The sequence below is a fragment of the Homo sapiens genome, chromosome 18 (assembly GCF_000001405.40).
Source record: "Homo sapiens chromosome 18, GRCh38.p14 Primary Assembly".
Taxonomy (NCBI): Eukaryota; Metazoa; Chordata; class Mammalia; order Primates; family Hominidae; genus Homo; species Homo sapiens.
The window spans coordinates 32,899,860-32,918,940 of record NC_000018.10 but is presented as its reverse complement, the minus strand read 5'-3'; the positions used below and the strand labels follow the sequence as shown (position 1 = coordinate 32,918,940).

The window sequence follows — 19,081 nt, the reverse complement described above, 5'->3', positions numbered from 1 at the left end:
ATAAGAGTGTCATGGAAAATAGCTGACGCTCTGTAAGTAAAGAAGATGGAACTGAAAAAGTGTGCAACAGCAATCAAATGTATCAGATCTTAACTACTACCTGAAAACAGGCATGACAGAAGCTGCAGCACTGGCATAGGAAAGCTAGAAGTTCATCAATGACTCTCTCTTACAGCATCCTATTCAAGTTTTTTTAACTTGATTTTTGTCCAGCACTAAATAGAAAGATCTGGAAGAGTAGTGTTTGTTCATGTTTACAGGCTGTCAAAGCAATCATTTTTCCGGGTGATCATACTCTCAAAAACCTTTTTTTCTCCCTTCAGGTAAAGATTATGATTGACTATAAAATAGCAATAGAGAAAAGATCAAATTCCAACCACTCCTTTTTTTCAATAAGAAAACTTGAGATTTCCTCTACCAAAATTGAAGTCTCCCCATAGTTTTTTTTTTAGTAGATCTTAGACTTTTGTCAGCAAGCCTATTCACAGTTTCAGAAACCATGAAATCCTTAGTCTTCCTACTGCTAAACTTTGAATTCATTTGTAGTTCAACACATCTGTTATTTTCTCCAGGCAGAAAAAAAAGGAAACCCACTGAAAACTCTGATTTATACTCCCAAGTGTCCTTAAATTCATCCTAATACCTCTCCTTCCCCACACCCTTTTTTTAAGTTTGTCTCACAAACAGTGATAAGCCCAAGGTTACATATTATACACAGTTTTCAAATCAATATTACCTTATATCACATTGCTGAGCAGTTTAGGGCTTTGCGGCTAGCTACCATGACAATAGATGCACAGCCTGGAACCAGTTTTAGTTAATTAGAGTCAATCAATCCAAACTTTGCTAACTTACTCATGTGAAACAATAGTATAATGAACCAAAGTCGGCAAGATGATTGGGAAACACAAATTATTACACCCTGATAAATTAAATGTGACTATTACAAAACCTTCTTTCTAAATGAATACTCAGGGAGGAAATATATGGGTATTTAATATAATTAAGAATCCAGGGAAAGTAAACTTAAAGCAGCTATTAAAGCTCCTCCTTTTTCTTTTTTAAGAAAGAAAATCACTCAGAGGTTGTCGAATGGGAAGATCTTGTGGCAACTTTATGAGTATTCATTTGGGAAAATATCTTCCAGTAGAACCCATGTGATCTGTAGGTGAAACAGAGGGAAAACAGGACATGCACTCTTGTGGGCTCTGGAACCATAGTGAGATGGGCATGCTAAGCTGGGGAAAGAATAAAATGAGAAGAGGTGGATGGGCTTGAGCTCCTGTGTTTGTGTGCATGCAGTGTCCAGAGCATGGGTTTATGTGACTAAGATGTCAACACTTTTGATCATTGTACAAAATTGAATAAAAGCATTTCCCCTGAATTCTGGAAAATCTGACATGCTCTATCTATTATTGGTATTTGTGGCACACATGCCTAGAGTTCAAGGCCTACGCAGACTAAGTAAAATAATTAGCCATTTAAAACAAAACCCAAGATTTACTCTCCCATGAGCCAAATTTAGCTGTTGTTTTAGCCCAAGATAACCTATGAATCCTATCAGAACTATTACTTTAAGTTAAAAAACTACGTTGATTGAACACAGTTAAATGGGAGATAAGGAAGCTCTCGCAGTGCATATTGACGTGAAGGTATAAGGCGTCCTATTTAGGAAATGAGTGATGGGAAGGGAAAAGGGTTTGGATAAGAAGCAGAGTGGGGTGGAGAAAGGAAGTTTGAAAAAATGCAGAAGGTTGAGCTTTAAAACAAGATTCTTATGCACCAGCTTAGGCTAAGGTCAGTTTTCTTATTTGCTCTTGGCAGTGAAACATGTTGCATAAAATAGCTTTGCAAGAGGCAGTGTTGAAAGAGCTCTGATGACCTGGATGGGGGTCCTCTTCCAGCCAGTCCCACCTGGCCTCTGTTTTTTTAACTGGGTGCTGAGAGCTATGACCACTGAAGAAGCTACCAACTCAAAATATTTCAACCCCAGGTGCAATTTCTAAAACAGTTTTTGATCATTTACTATACTGACATGTTAACTAGTTATCAGATAACGTGATAACAAGTTATCTTGTTACTTTTATCATAATCAGGTAATCAAGATATACACCAGAGATATTTACAGTGCGGAACATAACATCATATGTTAGATTTCATTTCTTTATGTTGAACTACTATCCAATTTTCTTATAATCTAAATTATGGCTAACTTACAGCCTTTATATACTCTCAAGTTCATGTATTTTATTGTCATTTCCAGGCTTGTAATAAAAGCAATGTAAGGATTGGCCACACATCTATAGTAAGACTTCGTGTCTGTGTCTCCATGGATTGGGTGGGAAACTCCATTTGTTTTATTTTCTTTATTTTTAAAATATAATTACTGCAGTGATAAAGTGGCTCACTCTTCTTTATGCTGTAAATGAATAGTCAACATAGTTTGAAGCATCTAAAAGACACAGAACAGGAGTTATGTCACTTTCAATGTCCTATAATGTCTAATACAGTGTATCAGCTACAGAGGTCTTTAATCAATAGCTGTTAAACGATGGATGGATGCATAGGTGAATGGACAGATTACAGACAGGTGGGCAGATAAACATATAAATAAATTAAAGGTCAGTATAAGGACACAATGACATATGGCTTATATTTCTTTGCATTTGGAAAACTGCCTTAAATGCTTGATATTTGAGACTCATTTTGGGAAATGACAAAATTTTACATACTAGAAATATATTATTAAAAGATCACATAATTTTTAATATTCAGAATCACTGGACATATTTATACTCATTCAACTACTAAAAACAGTAAATAAAAGGTAACATGATTTTTTAAGTTTCAAAGATACGTGGCTAATTGAATCTCACCTTCCACATCTCAGATTCAAATTCTATCATTAGCAGTAAAATAAATTGTAATGAAGGGTTTACTTTTCAGATGTAGTTTATACCTATAACGTAAATCTCATAAAACCAGTTGCTTCTCCCAAAACCACATAACAATCACGAAGTATTTTCTTGGCCATGACACCACCAATTGGTGATGAGAAATTTGCTTGTGCTTTTGACATTTCTGTGTAAAACAACAGCTGCTTCACTCACTTGGAAGCAGCCTTTTCTCCCCCATTGGGGATTCTTATCCCCTGTGGAGGTGGGTGGGCATCCTGCCGGCAATGTTGCATACAAAGAAAGATGCTTAGATACTCCATTGCTGACAGCTAAAATGAACTCATTCTGGGAGAAATCTGTTTTCCAGTGGAAGACAGCCAGACCTGCTTTCCTTCAGGGAATACAGTATGAGGGATACCATGGCCCTGCTCTCATCCTAGTGAGTCTAACACCCACAGTCACATGGGGCTAGCCATGTACACTGCAGAAAGCAAAGGCTAATACTGTAAATGCATCCTAACTACCAGCAGCATGATGCTAGGTCAACAGTGAGCAGATGATTTAAAACATAAATATATTGTATGAATGTACTGGGTCCTCCTCTTCCTTCCTGTCATCATCACTATCAACATCATCATTATTATTCTCTCATCTGCCCTACACTTTCACCTTCCAAAGTTCCTTAAACTTGAACAGTGTTGGTTTCCTTTTCTTCTGGTTTTCCTTCCTAGTCTCCTACGTATCTTGCTCCATATACTTAGTGAATCTACTCATTCCCATGTTCTTAAAAATTTAACCCCAGGAGAGAAGTTTCACTTAGGCATGTGACATTTAAAGGCTGAGCCTTTGGAAGGTGGCGATCATCTTGATGTGTTCCACTGTAAGTATGCTGGCCCAGGTCCTTCTGTCTATGCTTTCACTGTTATCAGAATGCACCTCATGAAGAGCACTCCCTGACTCTTCAATTCCATAACTTCCATGCACAGATTCAGTACAAGCCCAAGGCCAGCTCTGCATGTGCTCAGAATGTTCATTGAGTGTGGGATACAAGTAGCAGTCAGAAGACCTCACTTTATGTACCACACTGTAAATCTGCTAACCTCAGAGACCTGTGATAAAGACGAAGGTGCTTAACGTGCATGAGGACCTGCTGATGTTGGCTATTTCACTTAGAAGGAATAAAGTAGAAAGAACTCTGAGTCTAGAGATTTCAAGCCTGCCTTCAGCCACTTGCTAACCATGTGCTATCACATAACCTCTCTGAACTTCATCATCAATATATAAAGTGATAACATGTGACTTAGTGATTCTGTGCATGTATATGTGTGTATATACATATATATATACCCACAGAGCAATAGAGACGCGCATGCATACAGTTACTTGATTTCCATATATATCTAGCTCTGACACTTCTCTTACTTTTCCAAATGGATATTTCATTGATTATCCATGTCCAACCATTTAAGAATGACTTTTATACTTTTCTAATGGTTTTTGTATTGTATGATCTCCAGAAAAATGGGAGAAGTCTTGTACTTGCTAGTGTTAGTTCAATGTAAAACACACTGTAAATATCATTAAAATGCAGCCAACAATAGACAGGAAAGGGCCAAAACGTGTTATGACCAAAAAAAATCAACAAATATATTTTTAGTAACATGTAAAAACAAGGTAAAACTACCTCTATCACTTCTTAGAGAATATCTCATATTTCTCCTTTCTCCCCTTCACTGTCTATTATGATCCAAAGAAGAAGCTGTGTTAATACTCTAATTTCTAGCAATAGTTCTTGTATTTTTCTCTATAAGTCTATCATTCCTAAATTCCTGTTTCCATGCTAATTTCTATTCTCATTCTTTCAATTTATGTCCCACTTCTCTCTTGATCCCTCTACTTGGATGTTCCACAGGTATCTCAAACAACACAATTTCAAAAACCAAACTTACTGTTTCCATCCCGAACTATTCTTTCTCAAGTGTTTCTGCTTTAATAACTGGCTCAGTAGTCACTCATATGCTCATGACAGAACCTTGGCAATCATCCTTGACGTCCATATTTGTTGATTATTCTTTCAAAATATACCACTAATTGACCAATTTCCCTCTACTCATCTCCCTCTCAACCACCCCAGTGTGAGCCATCCCTCACTTCTTCACTTTCTCTCTACTCAGACCCTTTCTCTCCTCTGCCATGTTCTCAGAATGATCGTTAGAGAAATCTCCCAAAAACTCAAATTTGAATATCATTTTCTTTCTTAAAATTATCCCACAATTTCCAATTCCTTTTGCAGCGCTGGATTTGTTATATACAAAGGGATAGATGTGCAGGAGTAGAGTGGCTGTCTGATTGGAAGAAGGTAGCTAGGGACTTTGCTTAGAGCTGCATTTGTATGGGATACATGTTGCCCATGGTCTTATCCATTGTCACATCCCTAGCATGGCCTTTCATCCCTTGAAAGAAATGATCCTGCCCAACTTTCTTTTTTTTTTTTTTTTTTTTTTTTTTTGCAGTCTTGCTGTGTTGCCCAGGCTAGAGTACAGTGGCGCAATCTCGGCTCACTGCAACCTCCACCTCCTGGGTTCAAGTGGAGGTTCACACCTCCTGGGTTCAAGTCCCTCAGCCTCCCAAGTAGCTGGGATTACAGGTGCCCACCACCATGCCTGGCTAATTTTTGTATTTTTAGTAGAGACAGGGTTTCACCATGTTGGCCAGGCTGGTTTCAAACTCCTGACCTCAAGTGATTCCCCTGCCTCAGCCTTGCAAAGTGCTGCCTGCCCAAATTTCTATTCTCAGTTCACGTCATACTCACCCTCACTCACTGTATTGGAGTTTCACTGCCTATCCCCATCCTTGCCTTCCTCAAATGGACCAGGCTCATGTGCAGATATGCTGTTTGTCTGCCTGTATCACCTTGCTTTTCATCACACTGTCCCTAAAGGCCCCTGTGCTCACATCACCACCATCTTTCTAGTTTCTGTTTAATTATCACTTCTTCAGTGAAGATATCTCCTCTCCAGGTCAGAATCCCATCTTGAATGCTATCAAAGTACCTAACTGTTTCAAGCGTAGCACTTACCACAATTGTCATAACATGACACTTCAGAAATCTTTTCTTTGAAGTCCACAGCACTTGCCATCTTCTACAGCCTAGAGAGCAGGAACCAGATCAGCTTAGTTCATCCCTGAACCCTCAATACCTAATATAGGGCTGGGCACATAGCAGATGCAAATGTGTTAAACAAAGAAATTACTAAATCTATTTACAACGCTCTTTTCAAACTCACAGTTTTCAAAGAAGACCAATAATTTTCTTGTGTGTATAGATATTATCTTAATGAAAACAAATGAAACTTTTTGCTTCCAATGTCTAAATTGTTGATTACCTATTAGACTGAGAAAAGGACCTGTCCCTCAGGTGTAACACAACAGAATTTTGGAATGAAGAAAAAGATGTTTATTTTTAAATTTTTTCTTCCTTATGGAGGACAGGAATCTTGTAAACCTACTTCTTAGGTGATTCACAGTCAGTCAGACTTATTAAATTGTTGATATTGTTTTCTTATCTCTTCCTATAAGCTTGATTTTTACTTAAATTCTTTTGTAATTATTTATTTGCTAAACATTTATTAGATACCTATGATGTGGTAGGACCTCATCTGTATGTTGTGAATGGAAAATAATAATTATTGAGGCGCTAATAGTCTACTAGGATAAACCAATAAATAAGTACATTTATGGGTATACTATAAGACAGTTAAGAGATCTAAGATAATTATATGTATAATGTTGCAGGCATATAACAGAGAATTCATTAATTTTACCTATGAAGATTAGGGAACATTATGAAGAGGGGCGCACTGGGGCTGTTCTTGAGGAAGGTCACCAGACAGACAGTGACTCCTCCAGTCATTCAGCAGGAAAGGCAGTGGCATGAGCAGAGGCAGAGAGCCTGTTCTTCACATTTGACCATCACCCTGTGCGATTCAGGCTCACTAATAAACAGACCTAGCTCTCTTATAAAACATACATCTCTCTGGTGAGCAAGGCTTTCCTGAAATGTAATGCTACTTTCATTTGGTTCTCAAACTAGCTGCTCTGCAGGGAATTCAGACTTAGCAGATCTCACTTTCTTTCTGGACAACTAACAATATGTGCAACTTCCCAGCAGTCAAGAAATATGGGCAATATCCTCCTGTAGAGATGTACTTTAATGATTCATCAGTGACTGTACTATAACTCATTCATAAAATCCCAAAGCATTAAAAGCTCCATCTTCATTATTACCAGATGTCTTACAGGCGCCTAAGTCAACACTTCCAAATGACTCCCTGCAAGTTTGCAAGACCAATTGTACCTTCAAGGACATCCAGGAATACAAATGCTGCAGGGAATCTGCTGAAAGCTGGTTAACAATGCTGTAAAAAATGCCTTTTAGTGTTAAGGACCCTGTGTTTCTCACATTCTGCCAAGTCCATCCTGGAGATAAACATGCTTCCAACTGACTGAGTTTGAAAGGAAAGAATAAATAAATTTCTTCCAAAGATTATAGAAATTGCAAGAACATCAAAGTTTCTCACTCTCAATAGATAGGCAGACAGGTAGATAGAGACAGATTTGATTAGACAGATAGATAAATAGATAGGCAAAAAGGTAGATATCCTTCTGAAAGCTATTTTTTAAAACCACTGAACAAAATGCAGAAAAATTTGCTTTGGGCATCAAAGAAAGTAATTTTTAAAATTAAGATGCCATAGACTGCCAGAATTGAATCCATGAAACCTTTGAGAGCATGGAGCATGATGGGCTCCGTGAAATTTGCTTCTGTTCTTCAACCTATCACAGGGTACCAGCTGAGACGGGGATAAGGCTGTCTGTGTCCCAGCTACATAGACATCCTGACATCCCTGCCACTGACTTTTCAGTTGACTTTATTGCAAATGTCCCTGAAAAGAGTTCTTCCTTTTTAAAACATTTAAACTCCGTATTTAAAACTGCTACAGATATGCTTTTGTCAAAAATGCTGCTGAAAAAGTGAAGAATAAAAAAGGAAACTCTTTTGAGCTTGCAAGTTTCCTGCAGCCTGAGCCAGTAACACATATTTAGCACTGACCAGGTGACTCCTGGCCTTGAATGGATGCCCTGATTCCAAAGTGTCCTAAGTGTTGTAGCACATTCCTACCTTCCCACATGCCAATTCCTTCCCTTCTGAAGTCATCACTCCTTCCTGTCTTTAACTGTGGTATGTTATACCTTTAAAGCATTACATTCGCACATAGTTTATTTTTTCGTCAGCTGTAATCAGTTTTTGAATTCTGTTGTGTTTTATTTTTTTTTATCCAAGTATGGTTCTCATGGTGTAGTAAATGACATTAGGCTTTTGTAAATTCTTGCAGAATATAACAGATCATTGGTTTTATAACACAGTCGCTGCTTTTGCATTCTGATGAGATTATTAGTAGCAGCCTAGAATACAACATCCCTGCATACTGTTAGTTAAAAAAAAATAAAAGTTTACTAAATGGTCTCTTGTCAACTGTATCTGAAAATCATTATAGTTTCTCTGTTTCCTCTACATGAAGGGGCTCTTCAGCAAGCTGGTGGGTTATGTCAACATGAGGTTACAAAATTATTATCCCAGCTCTGTTTGTTTCAGAGGGGCTTACGCCATGCATTAGCATTCCTATTGTAAACCTCAGGGGCTTAAGGTATTTGTACATCCGGTGTAGAACAATTCCAGTGTTCAAACAGAGGATGCTCAAAGCCAATCGGCCTAGTAGTAGCTTTCAGTGGGAGCAGATTCTGAGGTGGGAAAAAACGCACTGGGGCTTTTCTGATTTGCCATCTCTCCATAGCATAGATTAGCCTTTGGGGTATTCTATGGCCTCCTGTGGAGAGATTTAAAATCTACTCTATTAATAAAATTAAGTGTTTCTCCCTCTTGGACCCACAGTCTACAATGTAAATTAGCTCCATGTGATATTTACATGTGGGGCAAATAGTCCTCCACACTCTACAGCACTGCAGCAAGCAAAGGAGAAGTGCAGGGCGTGCAAGAGGAAGTGCCTGGCACAGACCAGGGAGCAGAACATTCTCTTCTTTTTTTTTAGGGCTAAAATGATGACATTTGAAAATTGCCAACTGCATGTGCACCTTACCTTTCTCTCCATACCACTTCTCACATGCATACTTCCTATCTGCATTAAGATCATGACATTCTGAGCTCTAAATTGATACAATGCCAAATAAAAAGCTATCCTGTGAGCCATAATGGTTCTCCAGAAGTCACGGCATTCAACATAGTCAATAATATAAATTTTTAAATGTGTAAATGCATATTAAAATGAGAGATCTGATTTGCTTCAATAGTTCTGGCCTATTAGACACATAAAATGGTGTTTTAAAAGCCTGCTGGCATCTAGTTTGCATTTTACCTGAAAATGGGAGTAATGAGCATGATGAATTTTCTAAAACCTTCAATATCCTGTTTTGAAATTTCCCCCACGTGACAGTTCCAAGATAGAATCAATTTCTCTCTCTTCTTTTGTTTTTATTTTCTTCTTCCCCAATTTCTCAGTTGTTTTATTGACAATGCTTTAAAATTAAATAGTGTTTAAAGTTACCATTATTCTCTTAGAATTGTAAATAGCTTCTTCGGACTCTTTCAAGACAGCCATTTTTAACTGGAAACAGTCCCTGACAGTCCATGTCAGGTTTATTCATGGATCCTCCTTTGAAACTACAACGCAAGATCGTCTTTAAAATGTTTACTCAGAAATGGCTATAAGTTGTTTTGGTAAACAAGTTAATACAAATGGAAGGCTGAAATAATCAAATTTTTAAAAACTTTCACAGATCAGTGTTTCAGAACGAGCTCTAACCTCTGCCTTCAGCTGAGATGCAGACACTGTGTTAAGGACTAGGGATGAGAGACTACTGCAAGGGCCTAAGGTTGATTGCATTCTAATGGGCAAACCAAAAAACAATTACAGCATCATATATTAAATGCTGTGTGGTATAAATTCAGAGGATATATTTTTCCCAGAAATTGGTAGGATCAAGAATGTCCTTGTACATTTTTTTTTTACTTCCCAGGCAGAGGCTAAGTCCTTTTACCCAGTGATGAGGTTTCCTTGCAAATCAAAAGGGATAATGAAGTTCTAACTCTAAATGTTAATAGGTAAGAAGTTAAATCCCACCTTCCACACTTGCTGTATGATCTAAAGCATAATAATAAGCATCTCTTAACTTCATGTTTTTCTGCTATGAAAATGGAGCAAAAATCATGCCTACCTCATAGAAGTGTTATGAGTTTAAAGCGAGAGAGTGCGTGGAAGTAGGCTAATGCAGTATCTGGCACATGGCAAGTGCTTGTGAAATGCTATCTGGCATTACTGTTATTGCTATTCATTGAGCCCATGTGCTTAACGACTTTACCTGCATGCCTCCTAAAGTCAGGGCTGTTCGTTTGTTTGTTTTTTGTGATGGAATCTAGCTCTGTCGCCCAGGCTGGGGTGCAGTGAGTGGTGCGATCTCGATCTCAGCTCACTGCAGCCTCTGCCTCCTGGGTTCAAGCAATTCTCCTGCCTCAGCCTCCTGAGTAGCTGGGGATTACAGGTGCCCGCCACTGCTCCCAGCTAATTTTTGTATTTTTACAAAATTAGTAGAGATGGAGTTTCACTGTGTTGGCCAGGCTGGTCTTGAACTCCTGACCTCATGATCCGCCTGCCTCGGCCTCCCAAAGTGCTGAGATTGCAAGCGTGAGCCACTGCATCCGGCCACAGTCAAGTTTTGACCAAGGCAGTGAGTTTCTTTTCACTCACTGAGAAAGAAATGTACTTTCTTCTCCCAATTTGAGCACTGTGCAGTCCAAGGGCTTGTGTCAAATTCTCATCCATGGGGCTTCATCCCACTATCTATTGGGAGCTGGTAAATGTGTCCCTTAAGCTCTATCTTTAATTTGTAAAATTAAATTGCAGATTATGGGGATGGTGAATTCGATCCTAGGAATTCACATGTTTGTTTACACGTGGAAGTGGAAGTTTTGTTCCATTTATTGAATGTGATGTGACCTCAGCCGCATCATATGATGCTTTGAAGATCCATGCTCTGTTTTACCCTGGAGCTGTGATTCTCTTATTTTTTCTATGTGAATGAGTACATTGTGCTGTTTTCCTAGGCGCCAATCAGTACATACTTGACTGGTCTCCGGCAAACTGCCAGGGTTATAAGGCGGAGTCCTCTGATCTCTGCATTGACCCAGGCTTCAGGGATCGGTCCTGTGTTGGCAGCCCCTCAGCTGACCTGTCTTTTTGCAATGCTAATGCCAAGCTTTCCCATCTCTTCTCCTACTCCTATGTAGAATATGGCTTCCTTCCTTTAACTTCTTCATTACATGCACACACCCCACATGTACACACTCAACTCTCCTCATCAAAATTTATTAGAGACACCCATTCGATAAATATGTTTCAGGTATCTTCTGTGTGCCAGGCACTGTGCTAAGAATTAGGAATATAAATTAAACAAGACAGATCTTGACCTTGAATGTACTAGACAGTAGGAAATAGACAGCAGACAAATATGTGAATAGGTAACTAAAACATTTTCAGACTATGGTTAGTGCTTTCAGGGAAATAAGTGGGGCGATGGGCCAGAAAGCAACCGGGGCATTTACTCCAGTTGGAGTGAACTCAGAAATCTTCTCTAAAGAAAATACCCAAAGAATGAAGAGAAGCCAAGCAAGTGAAAGTTACAGGGAAATACTTCTCAGGCAGGAGACACAAGCAAATGCAAAATCCTCAAAGTGGGAAAGAACTGAAAAATTTCAAGAACCCAAAACACCCAGTGAGGCCGGAGCTTAGCGAGGCTGTGCCTGTGTGAGGAGAAGGAGGGGCTAGAAAAGAAGGAGGGGCTAGAAAAGAAGGAGGGGCTAGAAAAGAAGGAAGTGCTAGAAAAGAAGGAAGTGCTAGAAAAGAAGGAGGGGCTAGAAAAGAAGAAGGGGCTAGAAAGGAGCCGGGACATGCAGGGCTTTGCAGGGTTAGGGAGTTGTGGTGGGAGAGGTTTGGGTTGTGTTCTAAACAGGACTGAAAACCTATGCCGGTTTTTCAGCTACAGGGAGACCTCCTGCAATGTATGGTGTAAAAAACTTTAATAACAGTAGGGTAGAGAAAGGAATCTACCAAAACCAGACTTAGAAAAGGAAGGCCAGTTTGGAAGTTACAGAAGCTTTCCAGGCACTGGGGTGTGAAGGGAGGATGGGGCAGGAGTTGGCAAAGACTGAATGGAAAGGAACTCAATGACAGATTCCAGGAGGAGGCGGGTGAGGAGAATGAAAGAAATAAGGGAATTCCCGGTGACTGCAGGTTTCTGAACTGAGTAGATGAATCATTTATTAGATGGGAGAGAAACCGGTGTTGACAATTCTGAAAGTGGATGGGTAAAGTTTGAAATGCCTATGAGCCATCCAAGTGGAGACATGAAGAAGGCGCTACCCGACACGGTTCTGTGCATTCTACTTATCCACTATCCAGAGTGTCAATATTTATCACATTGGAAAACTCTTCAAAGTAACAGTCACCATTTGCCAGGTGACAATTTGATCCTTCTGGTGCATTGCATCTCTTTGGTGTATTGACTAAATGTGATTGTTACATGTTAAGACTGCATCTCACTATCAGTGTCAGTACACAAAATTCACTATCAAATGCTCAGCACAGAGCTCAGAAAATGAAGGTTTATCTGGAAGACTTCTGCAAAGGCCTGAAGGGATGGCAGTATCAGATTTATAGGTCAATGATGAGGTCTCATGATCTAGAATCTGAAAAATTCAGAATGTACCTGCAAGAACACAGCCCCCTGGAGAGATGTGACATAGTAAATACCTACGGTATACATTGGTAAACACACTAACATGGTCTCCTCGGGTTCTAAAAATGTCACACAAAAGACATTTTTCCTAAAATACAGATCAACTGGTTGCTGCATGGGGAAAAGCATTTGGTGGGAGGGAGGAGTAGGAAGGAAAATTCCACAATCACAAACTTGTTTCTTATAAGAGAAGAACATGCAAATCATGTTTATCAAAGAAAACTGTATAAAATGTTGCAGAACCTTTCCTGTCAAATGAATATAAGATGCTAATTGGTGATGTATGTAGTCCCAGAGATGCTTGGCATGCAGAGAGTGAGTGAAGTACAACAAAGCATTTGTATGGGCCATCTGGAAGGGCATACCACACTCCTGCATGTGATGAAAAAGTGCAATTAAACAGAAACTTTGGAAACCAAGGCCTAAATATGCATGGCCTTGACCCAGGTCAAGATCCTTGCGAGAAACCCTTCCATGCACCTAGAGACTACGGTGACCAAACGCAGCGGAACACGGCTTGGTGAAGCTATTGCCAGCCCTTTAGTGAAGCTATTGCCAGTCCCTTTGCAATGTGGACATCTCTACAGCTTTACCAAGCATGAAGATTGTGTTCCCAATGTACTTCATATGTGAAACTTCAAGTTTTGCATTCACTCACACACACACACACACAGACACATGCGTGCACACATGCGCGAGTATTTCCCACAAACACCAAAGATAATATACAAAATAGAAATATTTGTTTTTGCTCTATGCATGAGAAAACTTTTAAAATGTTCACCAAAGGAGTAAAAATTATGAAATACATTTTTACTCATTTCAGCTTACAAACTGGATTTTCAAAACTTAAAATTTTGGAGGGTAATAAATCCTTGAGATAAAAGTGTTTCTAAATTTTGTTCAAATAAATATCTCAGTCTGTAAGGAGAACTAGTCCATTTTTTAAACAGTATTTGATGGCTTGAAGACGGGCCATAAAATTTGGTGATCCATTTTTAAATGAATGATTTGGTTTCCAGTGAGGAAGCCACTGGCAGTCTGAATTGTTGAAAGAAGCATGAGGAGAGAGAGTAATTCAAGACCACAGAGACCCCCAGAATCAGGTCCTGTGGATGCTCAGCCCTGTATTCTGCCCTTTAAGGCTCATGTTTTTTACCCTGAACTCTTGTCACTTATATCTTTGTTTGAAGAAAAGTTTCAAGATTGCTTTAGTCCACGGCTGGTTAAAAGACAAAGGAACCCAAAGCACAAATACGAACACCTGGGAAATTGCATTTTCGTGATCAATCTACCTCTTCTTAAATACACTTTGTTTGTTTGCCTATCTGAGTGTAAGCCCCAAGGCAAGAACTGTGTCTTTTTAATGTGTTTCACAGCACCGAACCTATTGCAAAAGCTGAGGCAATGATAAACAGTAATAATAATGCCATTCAAAGGGAATGCTGACTCAAATAGCGTGATTTTAACCCTGCTGGTTTAGATACTTGGAGTTGGGAAAAGATATGGCACTAGAAAAATTTATAAATATATAATCCAACTCTGCTTCTAAAATCTTCCAAAATCCGAGTCATTCTAATCTCTGTTTGGGTTGCATATTTTGAAAACTGAAATGGTAAAAGTAATATTTGCCAAACACACACACACACACACACACACACACAAACCTGTACTAGAACAAAAATGTAATCACCAAACATTTTCTGAGCACCAACAGTATTCATTAAAGAAATAAAAGAAAATAGGATACATTTCCTACTCTCTCAGACCTCATAATGTATAGGCAGATCATGAAAGAGTTAAGAGAGGGGAAAACAGGAGATTTTTTTTAATGCTTTTGTGAAAACCGTGCCCTGTAGATCATAATAAAATGCACTCATTTGAAATGGATGGTCTATTCCTAAGAACATACCTACATGGGTCAGCTCTTTGGAGGAAAAATGCAAGACTGATTATCTACACTCAGGGAATGGGGCCTGACTAGAGAGTGTGCTTGGAGCACCTTTCTGAGTTTTCAGAAGACATGTCATTAGTGGAAATATAAGAGGGGCTCTAGGCCAGGTGTGGTGGCTCACGCCTGTAATCCCAGCACTTTGGGAGGCCGAGGTGGGCGGATCACCTGAGGTGGTCAGGAGATCGAGACCATCCTGGCCAACATGGTGAAACCCCGTCTCCACTAAAAATACAAAAAATTAATCAGGCATGGTAGCACGTGCCTGTAGTCCCAGCTACTCGGGAGGCTAAGGCAGGAGAATCCCTTGAACCTGGGAGGCAGAGGTTGAAGTGAGCCAAGATCACGCCACTGCACTCTAGCCTGGGTGACAGAGTAAGACTCCGTCTCAAAAAAAAAGAGGTTCTAGCCTAAAATACTTATCTTCCACCTATATATTTATCTGAATTGTTTATCACATTAGCTAGTTGCCATTTCCCCAGAGCAGAAACCTAAAAGACTGAGACAGGAGGATGCATAGGTGTTGATGAGACCGATAGTGAAGAAATCTGGCAGCCTCAGTGTGAAGAGCATAGCACATTTTTGAGAAAGATACTGAAAAGAAGGAAGGAGATGTTTTAAGAATGGAATTTAGGAAGACATTGGGAGACCAGGGGAAAACTTGCCTGCCATACAAATTATCCAGTTCTTAACCTGAATGTTACTTTGAGGAGGATTAGGCACAGCTCAATATTCTGAAATTAAATTCATCTAGATTTTATATAATGAATTTCAATTTGCCATTGCAGCTTTCCTAACTGGAATTAGGACTGTAATTACTCCTGGTGGTTTTTGTGACCCAGAAGATTCAAGAAAATTTGAAGCTGTAGGATCTTTGGAAGCCAAAAGGTAGTATGTGTCACTGGAGACATTTTTACATTTTCAATGTTACAGACTGAATTTTGCCTCCCTCCCTTCATATATTAAAGTACTAATTCTTAATGTGATAGTATTTGAAGATGTGACCTGTAGACAAGTGATTAAGATTAAATGATGTCATAAGGGTAGGATTCTAACTCCATATGACTAACGTCTTTATAAAAAGAGGAAGAGACCCCAGGGATGTGTACACAGAGAAAACACCATATGATAACATAATGAAAAGGTGGCCATCTGCAAGCCAAGGAAAAGAGTCCTCACTAGAGACCAACCCTGCCAACACCTTGATCTTAGAATTCCAGCCTACAAAATGGCAAGAAATAAGTTACTGTTGTTTAAATCACCCAGTTTGGCGTTTTGTTTTGGCAACTCTAGCAGACAATACACTGAACTCACTTAAGTGATTACTCACTAGGAAAATTGCTCTTCATAAAGGAAAAAATAGCATAAATGTGCCACTAGGACAAAGAGGGGCAACAACAAATAGAGGAACTTAGAGTCTAGAGTGATGATTTTCAGTTGGGTGAAGGGATGGCCAGGTACAAGGTAACTTCTGCAAAATCTATGTCTTACTTCCCTTCTCTCAGAACCCTACACCAGATGCTGATTTATTTTGAGACCAGCATGAATAATTGAAAATGTTTCCAGATAATTCTAATATATGAGCACCCTTCCTCTCTCACCCCTCCACTCTGGCTTAGACATTCATCACCGAACTGCTGGATGCCTATTATAAAATTAAAGTGCATCAGTGGTGACTATTCCAGCTAATGGCTGATTATCCAAAGGCCAATCATGAACCATAGTTATATGAAAATAGTTGTCTTCACTCTCTATTCCATCTACGATATCAAAGCAGAATCAGAAGCAACAGTAAAACGCCAGAAATGTGAGATGCCATTCCTCAGGAAGAAATTGTCTATATTTGTCCAGAATAGAGCATCTTACATAATAGATGAAACATAAAGCCTCACCTCTCTTGGGATATGAAAATATTAAATGTGTAACTGATCCACAAAGAAAACAAAGTCTCCTATTGTCATTACTTTGTTCAATTAGGTCCCACATTTCTATTACTTATTTGGCAGAGACGTAAGGTTTTGCCCATAACTGAGTTCTCTACTTCCCTTTCAATTAGGCTAGAATTTCCAGTCTCTCTTCCAGTTAGGTGTAGCAATATGACTAAGTTCTCACCAAAAGGATGAGTAGAAGTGACATACACTCCTTCCAGGCCCACCTGAGAACCTCATTTCTTTTCCTGACCATAAGGTAGAACAAGAAGATCTGAGAACCTGAATAAAACTGAGTCTCATAATGAAAATTGCCTGGGTCCTTGGATGACTGCATAGTGGAGCAACCTACTAATCCCCCAGATTCAATAAATTAACAGGGGTGAAAAATAACCTTTCATTATTTCAATCCATTTCCATTACTGTTATTTATTAGAACAGTAGACCAATTCTAATAACACATTTATATTAGAAATAGCAAAGAGTTCTCTTTTTTGCCAATAAGTTCCAGGAGTTTTCACTTTAGGAATGATCATCTGAAGCTAAACAATTCATATTCACCCTGATCTTGCAGAAGCTCTGAGTCAATTCCCATGCAAGGCTAAAGGGTAACTGAGCTGATGGACTAAGTTTTTTGATGAAATTAAAGCAGGGGTCATGGTGATCTTTCACAGTTGAGTGATGTCTTTCTTCAAAGACGTATATATCTTGGATGTATTCCATAAGAGTTGCTCTCCTTTATGAGCCTTGTCAGATGGGGTCTTCTTATAATTCCACTTTCCTTGAAATGAGAGAACCAGGGCCAAGCACTATGAGCACTTATTAGATATTCCTTGATGATTATATAAACATACAAGTTTAAGTCTGATAAGCCTAGGCTATGGACTATGGAAATAGAGCTTAATTATGGCCTGGACATGTTTACTGGTTAGTAGCAAGTGTCTGGGTTTCTGGCCATTCTGTTGATCTTTATTGATACATAATAGTTGTATATATTTTGGGGGTATATGTGATATTTTGGTATATGCATACAATGTGTAAAGATCAAATCAGGATAATTGGAATATCCCTCATCTCAAACATTTATCTTTTCTTTATGTTGGGAATCTTCCAACTCTGGTCATTGTCTTGAGGGCAGTTTTGCAAAGCATGTGTTTGATTAACCTCTCAAATCATAACCTCCTGTCTCCCAACCTATGGGGGTATGGAAGGAAGAACTGAGTATTCCCAATTCATTTTATCTGCGCCCATATGGGTTTGTCACATGCTCATTGGAATAATAATGTCTGAGAGCAATGAGGGGGTGGATAGATCACTGGAGAGTGTGTGTGTGTGTGTGTGTGTGTTATCTGCAGGGATAGACAGATAGCAGTTCTAGGGAAGTAAAAAGCAGGGCAGAGAAGTAACAAATGGACATATGAATACTCTACCCAATCTCTGGCCTTTTACAAACAAATAGGTTTAACCCTATACCATAGTATCACCAATATTACTAATTAGGATGAGCCATGCTATTTGATAAACTTTTATTATGTTTTATTATAAACAAGAACATTTGAATTTTTCACTATTAATAACAAATAACATGTGTTAGAACTTAATGAACCACAAAGCACTTTGCATAAACATTATCTCAAAGCAGAAATTTTTTTGGGCCCTGCACCCCATCCACTTGGCCCACCTCTGATTTCAGAGCAGCTATGGTAGCACTTCCATGCATGTACTCTGCCACCATTCTTTCTCAAGCTCAAGCAGCAACTTCTCTCCACTTCTCTGCCTCAGGACTTTCTCTAAAGTCACACAACACAGTCACAGTCAGAAAGCGTGGGAGTGGGATGGGAGACAATACTCCTGGTGTGGTGGAAACTCTCAACTAATGAGACAAAGGCATTAGCAGGTAAATGTCTGGACTTCGCATGTTCTGGAAAGACAATTCCGAGGTTCACATTCTATACATATACATTTAGAGGGTCCTCAGTAGAATTAAGACCTACTTGCCCACAGCAAAAACCAGCTGATATTCCAAAAGTGTTGTCCCTCCTACTTCCTTGTCTCCATTTCCCTGCTCTGTCAAGATGGTTTCCCTGCTCTAACAAGAAGGTAACTCGATCCAAGTCCTGGATTTGGGCTCTGCTTTAGGATAATCTGACCAAGATATTTCATTGAATCTTCACTCTAGAATAGAAACCCATATGCATCATGACATGTACCTCTTGAACATTTGCAGCTAAAGAAAAAAAGGCACAAGATGAATTGGGCAGCTCGTGCTCCATCTGCTGGAGGGTTAGAAGTTGCCAATTATACGACTAAATGTTGTGACTTAGCCATACTACTTTTCAAGGACCAAAATTGCAGCCAAACTCAGAAAGATATTATCATTTGCCTTCTAAAGAGACTTGGAGTTGTAGAAAAGCTATGAACTTATCATGTATCTT

At 39.1% G+C, this 19,081-nt stretch overlaps 1 long non-coding RNA gene across 15 annotated transcripts in view; it reads right to left on the bottom strand.

Annotated features, from left to right (window-relative positions):
* Window positions 1-2,223: 2,223 nt before the first annotated feature.
* The window catches only part of LOC105372058 (uncharacterized), an 83,282-nt gene continuing 66,424 nt past the window's right edge, over window positions 2,224-19,081 (bottom strand). For 10 of the 15 annotated variants that reach the window (XR_001753390.2, XR_935347.2, XR_001753392.2 and 7 more), the window contains 4 exons: window positions 18,328-18,436; window positions 17,208-17,427; window positions 5,977-6,108; window positions 2,224-2,452 (listed from right to left, as the gene is read on the bottom strand). This is a non-coding gene — a long non-coding RNA (uncharacterized LOC105372058). Of the gene's footprint in view, window positions 2,453-5,976; window positions 6,109-17,055; window positions 17,428-18,327; window positions 18,437-19,081 lie in introns of those variants that run through there. The other 5 variants (XR_001753391.2, XR_001753396.2, XR_001753397.2 and 2 more) reach the window with 3 other exon arrangements.